This window comes from Homo sapiens, chromosome 6, assembly GCF_000001405.40.
Source record: "Homo sapiens chromosome 6, GRCh38.p14 Primary Assembly".
Classification (NCBI taxonomy): Eukaryota; Metazoa; Chordata; class Mammalia; order Primates; family Hominidae; genus Homo; species Homo sapiens.
In genome coordinates, this window is record NC_000006.12 from 34871938 (window position 1) to 34890180 (window position 18243).

Sequence of the window (18243 nt, forward strand, 5' to 3'; positions counted from 1 at the left end):
CAGAACAGTAGCTGCCCATAACCCTTGGGGGCTATACTTGTGAAACTGGTAAAACCCGGGGTTGGGGGGCAAAAAGGTTGCGTGTGCTGCCTGCATGTGGGTGTTTTGGGTTCCTGTCACCTAGCAGCGGCTTCTAGAAGTGCTGACTAGAGGATAAATGTCAGGAGCTGGAGACGAATGGTTGCTGAGGACATACTGCACCTGCCAATGAACTATGAAGAGGGAATCAAGGTCTTAGAAAAGATATGGTTATCTTAATCATTGACATAACTTGTGGATTTTTCTCCTTGAACTCTTCCTCCCTGTTCCCTTTACTGGCGGTTGTTGCAAGATGGTATTACCGTATTTAACTGTTAACTACTTATTGTTCCTCAGGTGAAAGAACTGCCTATCCTACAAAAAGAACTTATAGAAACTAAACAAGCCTTGGCCAATGCCAACCAGGATAAAGAAAAACTTCTTCAGGAGATTAGGAAATATAACCCCTTCTTTGAGCTCTGAAACCAGTGGCTCAGCCATCTGTGCCAAGGAGAGAGGCTATCACCAGCAATAGCACCACCTAGGACAGAGGGCACTGTCCAGTGCTGAATAAGTCACTACGGATGCCAGAGGGACTGGGGAGCACTCACTTCACTTGTGTGGGTGTGCTTTCCACTAGCTGTTCTTACTTGGACTGAGGACAAGGGCAAAGCATGATTGTATCCCAGGAAACTGGGGCTTGCCCTGTGTGTGGCACAAGCATCATGTCTTGCCTGTATAAAGCCTTTTGGTCCTCTGTGTACTAGGTGGAATCTTCTCAACACTGTAGGGCCATTTCACCTCATGGTTTCATGGCAGGGACATTTGCTTCCTTCACAGGCCTGTGTGAACAAGCAAAAGTACCCACCTCCTCGGTCACCCACAGAGCCACCAAAGATTCCATGTCCCAGAGCTTCCCATAGCAGACCTGAAAAGTCCATGACCTGAGCTTTGGCCATGGTAGTGGAGTGGAACAGGAAATAGTCCAGCAGAGGAGTGTGGGGGAAGGGGGCAGGAGAGGCACAAGAATAAGGGAGACCTGGACTCTGCCTTTTTGGGAAAAGGAACCAAGCTCATAGCAATTTGGCTGATAACACAATCAGATTTTTCCAGGTTAAGCTTCCTTTCTGTTATACTTTCATCATTGTGATGCTGTGGTAGAAAGTAAATAACAGTAGTGGCTCAGTCATTTAATCTTTCCCCTCTATAATACAACTTACTTGAAATTTAAATCAAGAAAAAATTTCTGACGCTGAGCTAGGTTGGTGGCATGATATGCCAGGGGTCAGTGGGGGAGCTTGCTTCTGAGCCCCCTGTTGTCCGCCTGGAGTCCTGCTTGTCTTTCCCAGCTGTGCTGAGTGGCTCTTCTGTCTCCCTGGGGTCCCTGGCACATCTGCTTTCCCAGCTCTGTGACCTTACCAGTTCTCTCCTCAGCCCTTGGTGGTTTGGGAGCTGAATATATGTTTTAAACTTTTACATAAACAACTCAACCTGTTGCCTCTCACTTCCCTCCATCACTGTGGCTTTTAAAACTCATGTATTTTGACTCAAGTGAAAAAAACACAAAAATCCCTCATCCCAGCTAGGTTTTGCCCCCTGCCCTATAAGAGAGCTATTTCCCCCTTTCTTTCCTTTGAATTCTTCTCCAACACCATCCCTTCATTCATACTGCCCTGTGATACACTTGAAGCTGTGTTGATTGGACAGACGTTCATCAGCTAACTTACCTTTACTTGGCAAGATGGTAAAATAGTAACTTAGTGATGTTACTAAAGTCTCGACCATTCACCTTTCCATACTGAAGGAAAGGTAAAAAGGTTTCTTCTATGGGAAATTATGCTTGACTTGCATACTCTAGTTTGATGAGGATAAAAAGAAACATGTAATTGCAGTGGTGTTTACAACTAATTGATCACAACCAATCATAGATTTCTTTGTTCCTTCTCCACTCTCAACACTTCATTTGACTAGAAAAAAAAAATGTATTCACCAAGGAACAGGACCCAATTTGTTCAGACTTTTGTTAAGTTTCTTTACTAAGGCAATTTTTGAAACACCAGTTACTATGGGATGGTGGGAATTTTTCATGCTTAAGAAATAGAGACTTAGGAACAAAGAAACATCTTTCTGGAGAAGATGCTAATGGGAAGTTACCTAAGGCTTGATGCTTGGTTCAACCTTATTTAAAATTTTTATAAATGACCTGAAAGTAGGATTTTACAGTGAAATCAAATGTCACTACTTCCAGGCAGTGAAAGGTAATCTAGAAGAGGTTTAAAAAACACAAAACCGGTCGGGCACAGCGGCTCACGCCTGTAATCCCAGCACTTTGGGAGGCCGAGGCGGGGAGATCACGAGTTCAGGAGATCGAGACCATCCTGGCCAACATGGTGAAACTTTGTTTCCACTAAAAATACAAAAATTAGCTGGGTGTGGTGGTGGGTGCCTGTAGTTCCAGCCACTCGGGAGGCTGAAGCAGGAGAATCGCTTGAACCCGGGAGGCAGAGGTTGCAGTGAGCCGAGATAGCGCCATTGCACTCCAGCCTGTCAACAGAGTGAGACTCCGTCTCACAACAAACAAACAAACACAAAACCACAGAAGGGTTACTAATAAGCAGGGCTGAGAATACTCAGAAAACTGACAGGTGAGGTTCAACATAATATAAGGAAATGTATTTATGGAAGAATTATCAACTGATATGCCTGAACACTGTTAGAACTCAGGAAAGAAACAAGCATTGCTGAGGGGGAGGAGAGATCAATGTGCTGCTGTGGCCAAAAGCCTAATTGCCCTGTGGGCATCATCAGGAAGGGCTTTTGGAGATAACAGAGAACAGCACTTTATACAAAACCATGGATATGTCTTGATCGGATTATCTGTGTTTCTAGTGACCTTATTTACAAGATATATGATAAAGGGAGGAAAGGTCCAGAGAACAGCCAAAATTATCAGGGGATGGAGGTATATCCATATGAGGACACATTTTTAAAATATAGACTCTATCCTGCAAAGATGAAAGCAGAGGGGAGTTAGATCAAATATCCAATCAAGAGCAAGGACCCGGTCCTGTACTACTAGCTCTAGGGCTCTATCTCATAGCCTTAGTAAAGAAAGCACTTCTCATAGCAAATCAGAAATGTAAGGAGCTCATTGTCTAAGAAGGGATGCCACCAGAAACTATACATGGGTGCAGGTTTATGAGGAATCCTTGCATGACGGCCTTCTACAAGGAATTATAGAAAAGTAGGGCTACTTGGTAATATACAACTGAGAGGGTAACTGTGTCCCTCAACAAACTACTCCTTAGTGCCTCTTTCAAAGGCAGAATGTTGATCTGAATGGATCACTGGTCAAGTATGGCATCTCTAATGTTCTTGAAGGGGGAGGAAGGAGATCTGGTAGCTGGAAAATATAATTATTCCACGTTAGGCTCACCTGAATTGGTTTAAAATCATATTCTGATTCTCTTCTCATCCCTTCCTCCCCTCACCCACCATATACCTCTGGCATCCCTCCATGCAAAGAAATGTCGAATAGGCATTTCTTGGTATAATTTACCTACACTTGTGCTTGTGGGGTGGGAGTAAAAACATATCCAGTAAGTACCAAGGCTAACCTCCTAATGGCTGGAGCTCAGTTAGGTCTCTGGGCTCTCTAAAGGAGTCCAGAGCTCTTGTCCATGTCACAAATGGAGCCTTAGAATTTCTGTCTTTCCTTATGTGGCAGCTTTGGCCATTGTGTCTTGAAATTCTCCCTCAGGAAATGTGATAGGGGATATTATCCCATGGGATTTTAGTAAAAATCAGCTTGCCTAATTTCATATTCGTGTTCATAATGAAGAAATGCGAAGTGGTGGTAGTCCTCAGGATTAAGTGTAAAGGAAAATATGCAAGGAAAAAGTAGCAGTGTCAGCCCTTTTGGACTGCTTATGATTTCTGCCTTAGAGCTACAAGACTTGGAACAAGAAATAACAATACCTCAAGAAAATGTCTGGAGAGATAGCACCACTGTCCCTCAAAGACTTCAGCCACTGCACATTACCAATTCAGCTGTGAAGCATTTACAACTGTATTATCTGTGATTGTCTGCATTTCCTGTTTACATGCATGTGCTGGGGATATGCTTTAGTGTGTATGGACTAGAGTTTAAATCCTGTCTTTAACTGGGCTGCAAGGATGGCTATCAATCCCAAATTCTGTTTTCAACTCACTGGAATAATTAATCTGGTGTTCCTGATATAAAACAGGTGGGTTCTATTCACATGATGGCTGCTCTTTACCATATATTTCACCTGACCCTCATTTTGCCATGGGCCTCAACCTTTATGTGTGCTTTTTATGGCTCTGAAAGGACTGGCTCCCGTGTGTGGAATATACAAGGTATAAACACCACCCCTCACATACCCCTGTAACTTAAATGCTTCCATTTAACTCACTTAGATTACTTTCCCCTTAGTGGTAAACGGGTTGGGGGATGGGTGGTAGTGCAAAGAAGGTAGTTTGAAATATTGCCATAGTAATATGGGAACTTTTTATTCCAACCCTTTACCCTGGCTTTTTTTTCTCTCAATATTTGCCTAAAATTCTAAAATGAGTTATAGTAAAATCATAAAACTATGGAAACAACTGAACTTTGGTACACAAGTTAGTTCGATGACATCTTGTTATTTGAGAACAGTAAAAGGTGTGTCATTGCCTCATGATTTATCATAGTCATTACTAAGGGTTTCAGAGAGAATCTGGTGTGAAGCACTATCCTTTCAGACACTAAGGCCTTTACCTAGTTGCTCCCCTACCTTCTGTCGGAATAGGATTATTCCCATGCACCTCTGGGTAGGTATAGGTAGTAGCTATTGAACGGGGATTATTTTCCCCATGGCACAAGGGGAAACACTCTTGGATAACCTTCAACAATGAGGCTTTGCTAAGTGGCCAGACTTGGGATTTGATCTTCCTCACTTGTTATTTATTAAGTTTAAGCCTTATTCAGTATCTCTAATTGCAATAGATATAGTTCCTGTGACTTCTAAAAAAAATTCCTGTTAATGCTGAGACAGTATCTTTTTTGTCAGTTTATTAATTTTTGGTCAAGATTTAGCCTGAGTCTTAAAGCATTTATTTGTGGAATGCCCCACTGAAGTGTCTTCTCCATTGGCTAAGTACATGTTTAAAGCCATGGGTTTTAATGTAAGATACTTTCAGTATCTAATTCTGTTTCCCCCACTGAGGGTGCTAAAGAGAATTAGAATCTTTACTAAGACATGCTCAGGAAAGCTTCACGAGAGAACAGCTTCAAAATCCTCCCTATGACACTGAATGGTAGTGAGGAAAGAATTCTTGGGGATGCCAGTTACATACAATAGCCTTATTACTGCTAATCACTGTCAATAAAAGGTCACTTCATTCACCTCTATTTGAGGAAAACAATGAGAATGTATCTGATGAACTAGAATCCTTGTCAGTATTGGGAAATTTTAATGTTGCAATATCTAGTCAAACTTTGAGTGTACTGGTTCTGTGAACCACCTGAAAAAACAAATTAAATGTATTAAACCATAATGATTGTTGTATATCCGTTGATAAGAATCTGAAATATATGGGCTTTTATATTGTTTATTTTCATCTCAGTCTTGGGGGGGGAATTATTACACTGTTTTTAACAGTGCTTGAAGTACTCTTTTATGAGATAAAATTTTAATGGTTCTACTAGAAAAAGTGCTCAAATTTTCACAAAATAGCCAAAACCAGTTGTATTGGAACACCAAAAAAGAATGATCAACTTCCCATTCCAACCAGCTAGACAGAAAATGAATACACCTAGGGCAAGTTGGAAAACAGTTTAATGATCACTCACCAAAATCCACAGGAGAATCTTAAATGTTTACAAGCACCAATTATTCTGCTATTCCTGCCATTACCGCATCCTTCATGGTAGAGTATCACAAGTAAAAGTTTCTGGTTGTTTCATCTACTTAAAACCAGATATAAGAAACAACCTAAGTCTTAGCAACTTCAGGCTTCAATGTGAAACCATTAAAGCCCTCAGCACTTTAGGAGGCTGAGGCAGGAGGACTGCTTGAAGCCAGGAGTTCACGACCAGCCTGGGCAACAAAGCAAGACCCCATCTCCATAAAAAATAAAAATAAGTTAGCTGGGCACAGTAGTGTGTGCCTGTAGTCCTAGCTACTCAGGAGACTGAGGTGGGAGGGTCACTTAAGCCCAGGAGTTCAAGGCTGCAGTCATGCCGCTGCACTCCAGCCTAGGTGATAGAGCAAGACCCTATCTCAAACAAAACGAAACCAAAACAAAACAAAACTCTCTTGGAAAGGTTTTCTCTCTGAAAGCAGTTCCCCTGTCCAGAAGATGCTTATGGCCCACGTATCTTCTTCCAACTGGTCAAGACAGTTAAATACTTCAAAATGCCCCAAGAGGTCCCAAAATTTAGTCAAGGCAAGTATCAATCAGGCTACATACTTTCTAGGTGTGACAAATATCAGAGTTTTGAGAAAGACATTAAAATCATCATGGAATCCTTGGAGGCCTGAGATACTAAAGCACCAATGCAGACAGTCTTATAGGAAGTCTGGAACCAATACTTCTTCCGTCAGTAACATAGGCCTTTCTAGACTTTGGTCTAGAAGAAGATGATTTTTTTGTGCTTCGAGTTAGGGATCTGTCCTTTTGACTTTAACCTTCTAACGGCTTCCCTCATATGTTTGGGTTGTAGTGGTGGCATTTCTCCCCACTTCTCACACACATCCAGTGCTAAACAGAGGGTAAGGAGAAAGTCTGATTATCACACAATAATTTACTAATCACATAATCCTTTTGAGTCCTGTAATTCTTGTTAACTTTTCTTAAGCTTGCTAAGGAAATAAACAGACATTTTTCCTTTTTAAGAGAATATTAGTATAACGTCTCATAACAGGCTTTATCATAGACAACAGTTTAAAATATATTTCCTATAGGCCATATGCTGTGGCTCATGCCTATAATCCCAGCAGTTAGGGAGGCCAAGGTGGGAGGATTGCTTGAGCCTAGGAGTTCGAGACCAACCTGGGCAACATGGCCAAACCTTGTCTCTACAAAAAATTAAAAAGTTAGCCAGGGGTGGTGGTGCGCACCTGTGGTCTCAACTACTCAGACTGAGGCAGGAGAATCACCCGAGCCCAGGAGCTAACTGTTACAGTGAGCTGTGATCGCATGATCAAGGCACTCCAGCCTGGGTGACAGAGTGAGACCCTGTCTCAAATAACTACATAAAAATAAAATTAAAAATTAGCCAGGTATGGTAGTGCACGCCTACAGTCCCAGCTACTTGGGAGGCTGAGGCAAGAGGATCCTTTGAGCCCAGGAGTTTGAGGTTGTAGTGAGCTATGATCACACCACTGTTACCATCTCATTTTGTATACCATCTTAATTTGTGATTTGTAAAAGGAAAAATAAAAAATATTAAAAAAAATAATAAAGATCATGCCACTGCACTCCAGCCTGGGTGACAGAGTGAGACCCTGTCTCAAAAAATAATAATAATTTAAAAGTATATATCTCCTGCTCAAAAAAAAAAAAAAAATTTCACCAGCTAGAGTAGCAATGGGAAACAGCCAGGCTTTTTACTCAATAAAGGGGTCAGGCAGTTCCTAGGGATCACAACATTAGGGACAACTCACCATCCCACACAGGTCACCCCTGTGATTGCTTTTCTTGTATCTTTACTTTTGGCAGCAGAAATGAGCAAAGTCCACTGCAGAAAATACAAAGTCTACTTCTTTCACCCTGGGCTGAGGAAAGGAATCAGGGAGGGGATTTCCCAGATGGTTCCTTACCATCTGTTATTGAAACTTGCAAGGAATAACAGTCATGTTCTCCTAAATAAAGGGCTCCCCACTTGGTCAACTTCAAGTGCAAATGAGAACTCCCATAGGTGCTTTAATAAGCTCCTTTGTGTAGATATTCTTAAAAATAAGACCACCACAGGTACAATCCAGTATTTGTAACCAACACTACTCACCTTCTTCTACCACCTCCCCGACGAAAACCTTGGAAATACCAGACATAGCAATAACAACATTCTGAGACACAGAGGTGCCAGTGATGGACTGGATCAGCTTGAAAGAAGCACAAAGACTCCGTGATCACAATAGTCAAAGACTGGCTTTGGAACACAGTACCAAGTAATTCACAGAAAAAGGTAAGATAACTGAAGTGCATTTTTTTTCCCACCTAAATAATCCCCTGACTTGTCTAACACCTCACTTCAAATGCCAATGGACATGGCTCTTGAGTTCAGTTCTAAAACGTGATGGAGATGAAGTGTGGTGGTCCATCCTTACCCTTTTGATGGCTGCCTTAGGGAAAGCTGAGCGGCGATACATTTCATAACGGTTCAGCTGCTCCTCAGAAAAAGAAGAAACCAGGATTCTAAACAAAGATCCAGGTAACTAAGTTAACTTATAAGAACGAATACTCAAGATATTATGAAGTCAATAAAAGTTTCAGACAATTCAAAAACGAATTCTTAAAGGGGTCAATGGCATTAGGCTTGGTGCCTTGAGGAATGAAGATAAAACACTTCTACTCCAAAGGAATTTGAGAAAACGTAAAACAAAAACTTCTTTTCTTACCTGTTAACAAAAAGAACAACACTGGGTCACTGTATCGTACTACACAGACTGTTTGCAGCATTAGACACTATCTCCATAACTCTATCTTATTGAATTTCACACTGATGGTAAAAATTTAATATACAAATTTATAATCAAACCAGTAGTTTTCAACATTAACAGATTTAGGGGAAATATCTGCAAAATATGTGGAAACAGTTAATACTCCTAATGTATAATTCTTTCAAATGAATAAAGGGGCCATGTCAATTTTTGAAAATGAACAAAGTACATGAACAGGAAATTTACCAAAATACCAATGGTCAATCAACATGGGGGAAACAACCTTCATTATTAACTAAGGAAATATTATTTTCATAGATAACATTTTTCATAAATCAGACCACTATTAAAAAAAGAATGGTATTAGAATATGGGACACAAACACATGCTGGCAGAGTGAACTGGAACACCTTTTTGGAGAGAAATTTGGAAATACATATGAAAAGCCTTTGAAAATGTTCATACTATTTGAATTAGCAATTACACCTCTAGGAGTTTATCTTAGGAAGTAATGGACAAGTATGCAAAGATATGTCCAAAGATCCTCATCATAATGTCAAAAGTAAAAATACCCAACCAGAAGCACTATAGGGATTGGTTAAATTATAGTTCAACAACATAATGGGATACAATGTAGCCATTAAAAATTATGATTTATGAGCATATTTACTGACATGAAAATATTTAGCTATACATATCAAACATCTAAAAAAACTTTGAAAAGGTACATACCCAAACATTATACCCAACTATATACTTAGAGTGAACTCTGCGTGGTGAGTTTATGGGTGATTTTTTTCTATTTTTCTGTATTCTCTGAATTATTTGCAATGAGCCCATACTACTTTTACAATCAGAAAATGTAATAAAGCTATTTCTATTTTTAAGAAAACTATGACCTAGATGTATAATTAGTGACATGGAAAACATTCACCATATCTAATGTGAAAAATAGGCTACAAAACAGTATTTGACATTTGTGGAAAAAAAAATTTATAGATATATATGTATAGAAACTATCTTGAAACTTATAAGCAGGATATATCTCTGTGGTAAGGTAATTATTTTTTCTTCTTATCTATTTATTTTTTTTGAGACAGCATCTGGCTCTATCGCCCAGGCTGGAGTGCAGTGGCGCAGTCTTGGCTCACTGCAACCTCTGCCTCCTGGGTTCAAGTAATTCTCCTACCTCAGCCTCCCGAGTAGCTGGGACTACAGGCACCCACCACGACACCTGGCTAATTTTTTGTAATTTTAGTAGAGACGGGGTTTCACCATGTTGGCCAGGCTGGTCTCAAACTCCTGACCTCAAGTGATCCACCCGCCTCAGCCTCCCAAAGTGCTGGGATTACAGGTGTGAGCCACCGATCTCGGCCTTCTTTTTATCTATTTATATTTTCTATGCTGTAACATAATTATTTGAAAAAATTGTTTTTGGCCAGGCACAGTGGCTCACACCTGTAATCCCAGCATTTTGGGAGGCTGAGGCGGGCGGATCACGAAGTCAGGAGTTCGAGACCCGCCTGGCCAACATGGCAAAAACCTGTATCTACTAAAAATACAAAAATTAGCCAGGCATGGTGGCAGGAGCCTGTAGTCCCAGCTACCTGGGAGGCTGAGGCAGGAGAATCGCTCGAAACCAGAAGGCGGAGGTTGCAGTGAGCAGAGATTGCACCACCGCACTCCAGCCTGAGCAACGAGAGCGAAACTCTGTCTCAAAAAAAAAAAATTTTAAATAGAGGCCGGGCACAGTGGCTCATGCCTGTAATCCTAGCACTTTGGGAGGCCGAGGCGGGCAGATCACGTGAGGTCATGAGTTCAAGACCAGCCTGGCCAACATAGTGAAACCCTGTCTCTACTAAAAATACAAAAATTAGCTGGGCATGGCGGTGCATGCCTGTAGTCCCAGCTACTCGGGAGGCTGAGGCATGAGAATCGTTTGAACTCAGGATGTGGAGGCTGCAGTGAGCCGAGATCACACCATTGCACTCCAGCCTGGGCGACACAGTGAGACTCTATCTCAAAAAAATAAAAAATAAAAAAAAAAACATAACATAACATAACATTAGAGAAAGGGTTTCACTATGTTGCCCAGGCTGGTCTCAAACTTAGGCCTCAAGAAATCCTCCCACCTTGGCCTTCTAAAGTGTTGGGATTACAGGCGTGAGCCACCATGCCCAGCCATAATGTATTAATCGTTTTATTTTCTTTTGAGTTTATAAAAGAAAATTTAAACACCAAGAAAAATTTATTAAATTTGTGTGGTCAAGTGAGAGCCTCGAAATGGGGAATGATAAGAAAGTGACTTACTGCATCTTCTGAATCTCATCTTCATCTACTTTCTGCTTTTTCTCTTTCTTTTCTTTGGTATCTATTTTCAGTTTTTTGGCTGCAGGATTAAGTAATGATGAGTCTTCCCTTTCAACTGTTGTTAAATCTGAGACATCCTGACTCTCGAGCTGGGAAGATGAAAGAAACTCTATTATATATTTGGCCTACTTTCCAGGCTTGGGCAAAGTAAGAAGACATCATCCTTATCACAAAACAACAAATCCATTTATTGAGTAGTTTTTCAGTTCTAGGCACTGACTGTACCATCAAGGATAAGATACAGTATCTCTCCTAAGGGAAGATTATGGCTCAGCTATGGAAAGAAAACCTGCTAAATAATCTAGTTTTCCAGTTTGGCTATGAGCACAGCTCCAGTATCTGTTTACAAGGGTAATGAAATGCCATGGATCATGAAAATCACCCTCCCCCGGGCCCACTCTTCTGACCTTATTTTTCAGAGGGGATGTCAGCAAAGTCCCCTCCATCCAGCCAGCTCTTCTGCTTCCAGATCTATAGATCTCTTTACTGCTGATGATTCCACATGGAAAGAATATTAAAAAGGAGGCCCCTTCTCATCAAAACAGTGTTTATTTCAATTTGGGACTTTCAAGTGAGCTTCTCACACGTAGTGCTCTTTTGTTCTTATTCTTCAATCCTACTGTTTCATGCAAATGTTTATTTCACATTACTAGTCTTTTTGAAGATAGGTTTGTCTCTTATTATTTATATCTCCCCCCCATCAGCATTTAATGCAATTTTACTTATGCTGGATGTTTAATAAATGCCTGTTCAAACCCCACTTAAAAGTAGGCAAAGACACTTCTCAAAACAAGACATACCTGTGGCCAACAATCATGTGAAAAAAAGGTCAGCTTCACTGATTAGAGAAATGCAAATCAAAACCATAATGAGATACCATCTCATATCAGTCAGAATGGCTATTATTCAAAAGTCAAAAAATAACAGATACTGGCAAGGTTGTGGAGGCAAAGGAAAGCTTTTAAACTCTTGGTTGGAGTATAAATCAGTTCACCATTGAGGAAGGCAGTGTGACAATTCCTCAAAGACCTAAAGACAGAATTACCATTTGACCCAGCAATCCCATTACTGGGTATATACCCAAAGGAATATAAATTGTTCTATTATAAAGACACATCCACACTTATGTTCATTGCAGTGCTATTCACAATAGCAAAGACATGGAATCAACCTAAATGCCCATCAATGGTAGACTGGATAAAGAAAATGTATTTTCCAGTATACACCATGAAATACTATACAGCCATAAAAAAGGAGATCATGTCCTTTGCAGGGACATGGATGGAGCTGGAGACCATTATCTTTAGCAAACTAATGTAGGAACAGAAAACCAAATACTGCATGTTCTCACTAATAAGTGGGAACTAAATGATGACAGCACACGGACACATAGAGGGGAACACACACTGGGGTATATGGAAGGGTGAAGGGTATATGGAAGGATGAAGGGTGGCAGGAGGGAAAGGATCAGGAAAAATAACTAAGGGACACTAGGCTTAATACCTGGGTGATGAAATAATCTATACAACAAACCCCTATGACACACATTTACTTATGTAACAAAACCTGCACATCCTGCACATGTACCCCTGAACTTAAAAAACTGGCTGTTTAATAATAAAAATCAAATCCAAACTTCACCCCCTCTGACTTAATGTAGAATCTTAAGTATACTACAAAACTCATTAATGAGATTTAACTTGTCCCTAAAGAGGAATTCAAATTTAAACTCATACAGGAATATGGGAATAGGTGGGATGAAGGTAGTCTATCTTTGACAATCTTTTCAATTTCTTTTTAGTTACTGATTTATACAAGTTTTCTAACTGTGCTTCAAGTTTGGTGGTTTGTATTTTCCTTTAAAAAATCACCTATTTTTCTCAGATTTTCACATTTATTTGGCCTAAACTTGAACATTAAATGTCTTTATAACTTTAAAGATCTCCATATTAGTGCCTATAGCCTTTCATATTTTGTAATGTTATACATTTACATTTTAAATAATGTTTTAATTTTATCATTTATGTTTTTTAATGTGCTAATTCATTAGTGTCTACTTCTATCCTTATTAACTCCTTGTTCCTACATTCTTCTGATTTATTTTGTTCTTTATCTTTTTTTTCTCCCCCAGACTCGCTCTGTTGCCCAGGCTGGATCATAGCTCACTGAAGCCTCAAGTGATCCTCTTGTGTCAGCCTGCCAGGTAGCTAGATCTGCAGGCGTGACCCACTCCACTAGGCCCTTTTTCTGGTTTCTTGAGTTAGGTGCTTATTTGCAATATCTTCTGGCTGTTAATAAAAATATGTAAGGCTATATATTTTTCTTTAAATAAAGCTTTGGCCAAATCCCATATACTTTGATAAAGTGTTCTATTAATTTCTTTAGTCTAAAGGCTATTTAAAAAATAGTTTAAAATTTCCAGGGGGTTAGTTCTTTTTTGGTGGGGGAGAAGCTTTTTGTAGTTAATTTCAAGTTTAATGCATTACATTAACAAGATGTGGCCTGTTATGATTTCTACTTTTAAGAGTTCATATTTTTCTTTGTGGTCTGGTACATGATCGATTTTTAAAAGTGTTTCAGAAACAACATAATTTTATCCTCTGTTCGGTGCAAATTTAGATATGTAGTGAGCCCTCTGTGTACTAAGCTAATTATTCAAATCCTTGCTGTCCTTGACACCTGTTTTAAAGTTTCCTTCTTGGCCAGGCATGGTGGCTGCCACCTGTAATCTTAGCACTTTGGGAAGCTGAGGCAGGAGGATTGCTTGAGCCCAACGAGTTGGAGACCAGACTGGGCAACATAATAAGACCTTGTCTCTACCAAAACAATATTTAAAAAACCTTTAGCTGGCCGGGTGCGGTGGCTCATGCCTATAATCCCAGCACTTTGGGAGGCCGAGGCGGATGGATCATGAGGTCAGGAGTTCAAGACCAGGCTGGGCAACTTGTGAAACTTGTGAAACCTCAGCTCTACTAAAAATACAAAAATTAGCTGGGCGCGGTGGCACGTGTCTGTAATCCCAGCTACTGGGGAGGCTGAGGCAGGAGAATCGCTTGAGCCTGAGAGGCGGAGGTTGCAGTGAGCCGAGATTGCGCCATTGCACTCCAGCCTGGGCGGCAGAGCGAGACTCTGTCTCAAAAACGAAACAAAACAAAACAAAAACTTTAGATGAGCGTGGTGCAGCATGCCTGCAGTCCCAGTTACTGGGGAGGCTGGGATAAGAGGATTGCTTGAGCCCAGGAGGCAGAGACTGTGCCACTGCACTCCAGGCTGGGTGACAGAGTGAGACCTTGTCTCAACAAACAAAAACTGCCTTAAAGGAGCTTGCAGTGAGCCAAGATCACGCCACTGCACACTCCAGCCTGGGCAACAGAGCGAGACTCGGTCTCAAAACAAAAAACAAAAAACAAAAAACAAACAAAAAACCTGCCTTAAAATACTTTTGTCAAATGTTCTCTTTTCCTTTTTCTTTCTTTTCTTTTCTTTTTTTTTTTCCGAGACGGAGTCTCTGGTACCCAAGCTGGAGTGCAGTGGTGCGATCTCGGCTCACTGCAATCTCCGCCTCCCAGGTTCAAGCGATTCTTGTGCCTCAGCCTCCTAAGTAGCCGGGATTACAGGCGCCCGCCACCATGCCCAGCTAATTTTTGTATTTTTAGTAGAGACGGGGTTTCGCCATGTTGGCCAGGCTGGTCTCAAACTCCTGACATCAGGCGATCCACCCACCTCGGCCTCCCAAAGTGCTGGGATTACAGGCGTGAGCCACTACGCCCAGACAAATTTTCTCTTTTTCTAAAAGTTTGTACTTTATACATTTTGATGCAACTTTATGCTCTGAAAGGCTATTTCCATCTAATCTACTGTTCACCCACGATCTCTTAAATCCCTTCTAGCTGTAAGACCCCAAGATTCTACTTCTAGAAATGTAATCCTGAGAACGATGAGTTTCTGGTCCTGACCGATACTCAGCTAGGCAACACTGCTGAACTCTCTGTAGCATAAAAACACCAGACCCAATTGATGGGTCCCTGATCACCGGGTGCGGTGGCTCACGCCTGTAATCCTAGCACTTTGGGAGGCCGAGGCGGGCGGATCACGAGGTCAGGAGTTCCAGACCAGCCTGGCCAACATGGTAAAACCCCGTCTCTACTAAAAATACAAAAATTAGCTGGGCATGGTGGTGTGCGCCTGTAATCCTAGCTACTCGGGAGGCTGAAGCAGGAGAATCGCGTGAACCCAGGAGGCGCAGGTTGCAGTGGGCCAGAGATCGCGCCATTGTTCTCCAGCCCGGGCGACTCTCAGGTTAAATCGTGTTCGATATAAAAGTCTATATCGATATAGACTTTTCGATATAAAAGTCTATCTCCCTTTGACAGGTCTGATCGACCCTCCTTCCTATAAAGACAAAAGTTGTCTTAACATCTAAGAGGAACCATATTGCGGTGAAAGGGGTGCTACGAATCCTGGGTTTTAGCTCTTGCACTACGTCTCAGTGTGACATTGGATCCCAATTTCCTCACCACCAAAGCCAACGGGCTATTATAACTCCCTTAGAAGTAGCTTTAATCCCTAAAGACAAGACTAAAAATATTAACAGTGCTTGAGCCTCTGGAACCGAACCAGCACTGGAGTTTTGTTTGGTCGTCCCCTCTCTTCCCCCTCAAGATTAACGATCTGGAGGGAATTCTGGTGAGTTCGAGTTCTCGTAACTTGTTAGGGACTAACCAGAAGCCCGGCGAGCAGCCAGTAACACAATCTCTGGGTATTCCTTCAGCCTCATCAGTACATCTCTTCCTACCTCGCCTTCCTCCGCTGCAGCTTCTTTCAAGTCCACATCTGCGTCTCCGTCAGTTTCCTCTGGGATTCCATCGGTGTCGGTAGCCCCCGGGTCCCCGGGCACAGCGGCCGTCTCATCCGACTCCCCTGTCTCTCCACCTTTGTCGGAGGGCGACTCGTGGGCATCGTCCATCACGGATAGGATTGGAGGGGAGAGGAGATCGCGGAGATGCCTGAGGCAGAAGCTCGGAAACCCGAGCTGCACAGGCCAGGATCTTACTTCCTGTCGTCGCGCAGCGATGACATCACCCCTACCGCTCTCCTGAGGGGTCATTTTGAGGCGCGCGTAGAGGACTAGAGGACTCATTTTAACTTTGGTTTGGCGACAGTGGGAAGCGGGAAAATTGGACGTAAAGAGCTCAGACTATGGATCCTCCTCGCTAGGAAACCAGCACTTGTGAAGGAGCGCAGTTTTGTTTACTAAATAACTTTTTCCTTTTCGCCTGTCTAAAAATGCAATGTCAGTTAATCCCTTCGTTAACCCCTCAGAGTAAAGTTGGGGGACTGGGAGAAAACTCAGTTCCGTTGTATGGCGGTGTCGTGGAATGAGGCTCCCCGGGACTGGTAAACTTTCAGGCAAGGACTCAACCTTGTATATTTCAACTGGCCCGAAACCGCGGGCCTGTGTGTACATAGAATTGCTAGCATTTCCCCTCCATTCCGCAAGCACCTTAACAACAAAAAGTCATATAGCTCGAGCAGAATTTATCCAATTCATTTATTCATCCACAACTATTGACTGCCTACTTCGATTTAGAAACAGTGCTAGTACCAGGGAACAAAACACACATAGTTTCTACCCAATTAAATGATTTTTTTCAGTTCGCCAGTACTGAAGATTGAGGTTTGTTTTTACAAGTCTGACACTTTTCTATCAGTTTGGTTAATCTCATTAAAACTAAGAGGAAAGCCTAAAGAGAGGAAGGTGTCTCCTTTGAACGTTTCACTTTAATGAACTAGTTCACGTACTGGGAGGATGAAGTGGTGAGGATATTTCTGTTTTAAAATTTTCTTCTCTTCCCTCATTGAGATACGAGGGGGAGGGCGTTTTATTCACCTGGGTATGACTAGGTCCCCGCACCTATTACATATTTAATTTATGCGTGCTGAAAGAATGGACTTGGAAATGTAGGTGCGCGTTACATTTATCTCTTTGTTTCTACGCTGCCTGGACGAATTACCGTATTTCCTGTCCCAGGAGCTCCCAAAACCTTTGGGGAAGGAGCGCACTTCGGGAGGCGCGTACAGGTGGGCCTGTTTGTCCCTTTCCACCTGCATAATGGGGGCCCACAAGGCGCTGTCCCCATGCCCCGAGAGGCGTGTCTCGGCACAGCAAAGTCCACCTGCGCTGGTCCGCGGAGCCCCGCCCAGCTAGGTGAGCTAGGGGGCGGGGCGCGGGGGCGCGGTGACGCGTGACGCCGGATCCCGGAAGTGACGCGCTCGTGGGGAAAAGGCAGGGAGGGGGTGGTGTCCCCAGCCGGTTTGGGGGGTGCGTTGCCCGGAGACGGAAAGTTTGGGAGCCCGAGCAGGCTCGGCTGCAGCCTCGGGGAGGGGGTCCAGCGGGTGGCGGCCCTGGGGATGGGGAAGGAGCAGGAGCTGCTGGAGGCGGCCCGCACCGGGCACCTCCCGGCGGTGGAGAAGCTGCTGTCCGGGAAGCGGCTCTCCTCAGGCTTTGGGGGCGGCGGCGGCGGTGGCTCTGGGGGCGGCGGCGGCGGCAGCGGCGGCGGCGGCGGCGGCCTCGGCTCTTCCAGCCACCCCCTCTCCAGTCTGCTCAGGTGGGTACGCGCCAGGGCCGGGCCGCTGCCTGCAGACCCTTTCTCCCCCACCCGTCTCTTGGGTCCCCAGAGAGATCGGGGGTCCTGAGACTCGGGCGGGGTGGGCTTGTGGCGTGCCCGGGGCGAGGCAGGCGGCCCGCGGGCCAGGGTACCGGAGGGCGCGCAGGTCCGAGTCCACGCTGCTCCGGGCTCGCCTGGTCTCCCGTTCTGACCCGGCTGCGAAGAATGGTGGGAGTGCCCAGGTGGCAGCCTCCGCCGCATGGCACAGCCAGGGTTCACTCTCGCTCGCTACAGGGTGCCAGCTATCGTAGCTCACAAAAGCCAATTAAGAGCAAATATGTATATCTTATATATATATATATGAGATCTCCCTCACCTCCTGCAGAAACTCCTACGCCTTGTAGAATCTCGAGGCTCCTCTGGAGGAAATTCTATTGATTTTCTTCTCTGAGGAACTTGGAACCTTCCACCAGGCTACACAGGACCTCGCTTTATTTTTTTTTTTCCCTCGAGACGGAGACTTGTTCTGTCAGCCAGGCTGGAGTGCAGTGGCGCGATCTCGGCTCACTGCAACCTCCGCC

At 43.2% G+C, this 18243-nt stretch overlaps 3 protein-coding genes and 1 pseudogene across 15 annotated transcripts in view, besides 4 other annotated features; 3 read left to right on the top strand and 1 right to left on the bottom strand.

Annotated features, from left to right (window-relative positions):
• BLTP3A (bridge-like lipid transfer protein family member 3A) overlaps window positions 1-5577 on the top strand; it is an 85432-nt gene extending 79855 nt beyond the window's left edge. The window contains exon 21 of the mRNA NM_017754.4: window positions 376-5577. Within this exon, the coding sequence (NP_060224.3) occupies window positions 376-501 (126 nt within the window). The 3' untranslated portion in view covers window positions 502-5577. The remainder of the gene's footprint in view (window positions 1-375) is intronic.
• Window positions 1906-1989, top strand: RNY3P15 (RNY3 pseudogene 15; annotated as a pseudogene).
• On the bottom strand, window positions 5525-16134 carry TAF11 (TATA-box binding protein associated factor 11). Of its 4 annotated transcripts, none has more exons than NM_005643.4 (5): window positions 15850-16105; window positions 10995-11143; window positions 8352-8439; window positions 8030-8126; window positions 5525-6783 (listed from the first exon to the last, which is right to left on the bottom strand). In NM_005643.4, exons 1-5 carry the CDS (start codon window positions 16018-16020, stop codon window positions 6653-6655), a joined length of 636 nt encoding a protein of 211 aa, NP_005634.1. In that variant the 5' UTR covers window positions 16021-16105; the 3' UTR covers window positions 5525-6652. The 4 variants fall into 4 exon arrangements, with proteins under 4 accessions (NP_005634.1, XP_011513129.1, XP_047275226.1 ...); XM_011514827.3 differs by lacking the exon at window positions 15850-16105 and adding an exon at window positions 11462-14091; XM_047419270.1 differs by lacking the exons at window positions 8030-8126; window positions 15850-16105 and adding an exon at window positions 11462-14094.
• Window positions 15779-16330: an enhancer, noted in NCBI's record as "H3K27ac hESC enhancer chr6:34855493-34856044 (GRCh37/hg19 assembly coordinates)". NCBI's record gives its function as "activates a minimal SCP1, AML or CMV promoter by ChIP-STARR-seq in naive and primed H9 embryonic stem cells {active_cell/tissue: H9 hESC(naive and primed)}" and the evidence as "EXISTENCE:reporter gene assay evidence [ECO:0000049][PMID:30033119]".
• Window positions 15882-16231: an enhancer, noted in NCBI's record as "active region_24393". NCBI's record gives its function as "activates an Ori minimal core promoter by ATAC-STARR-seq in GM12878 lymphoblastoid cells {active_cell/tissue: GM12878}" and the evidence as "EXISTENCE:reporter gene assay evidence [ECO:0000049][PMID:35858748]".
• Window positions 17064-17946: an enhancer, noted in NCBI's record as "H3K27ac-H3K4me1 hESC enhancer chr6:34856778-34857660 (GRCh37/hg19 assembly coordinates)". NCBI's record gives its function as "activates a minimal SCP1, AML or CMV promoter by ChIP-STARR-seq in primed H9 embryonic stem cells {active_cell/tissue: H9 hESC(primed)}" and the evidence as "EXISTENCE:reporter gene assay evidence [ECO:0000049][PMID:30033119]".
• ANKS1A (ankyrin repeat and sterile alpha motif domain containing 1A) overlaps window positions 17318-18243 on the top strand; it is a 208736-nt gene continuing 207810 nt past the window's right edge. For all 10 annotated transcript variants that reach the window (XM_011514431.4, XM_011514434.4, XM_011514432.4 and 7 more), the window contains exon 1: window positions 17318-17662. In XM_011514431.4, coding sequence (XP_011512733.1) covers window positions 17466-17662 — 197 coding nt within the window. In that variant the 5' untranslated portion in view covers window positions 17318-17465. The remainder of the gene's footprint in view (window positions 17663-18243) is intronic.
• Window positions 17443-17492: a silencer, noted in NCBI's record as "silent region_17083". NCBI's record gives its function as "represses an Ori minimal core promoter by ATAC-STARR-seq in GM12878 lymphoblastoid cells {active_cell/tissue: GM12878}" and the evidence as "EXISTENCE:reporter gene assay evidence [ECO:0000049][PMID:35858748]".

Bases quoted from the DNA above. Each gene is read 5' to 3' on its own strand.
- TAF11 (NM_005643.4), bottom strand. From the start codon at position 16,020: ATGGACGATGCCCACGAGTCGCCCTCCGACAAAGGTGGAGAGACAGGG. The intron at 11,144-15,849 runs GTAGGAAGAGAT...TCATCTTCCCAG, and splicing joins CTGCAGCGGAGGAAGGCGAG to CTCGAGAGTCAGGATGTCTC. The intron at 8,440-10,994 runs GTAAGTCACTTT...ATCTTTGTTTAG, and splicing joins GATGAGATTCAGAAGATGCA to AATCCTGGTTTCTTCTTTTT.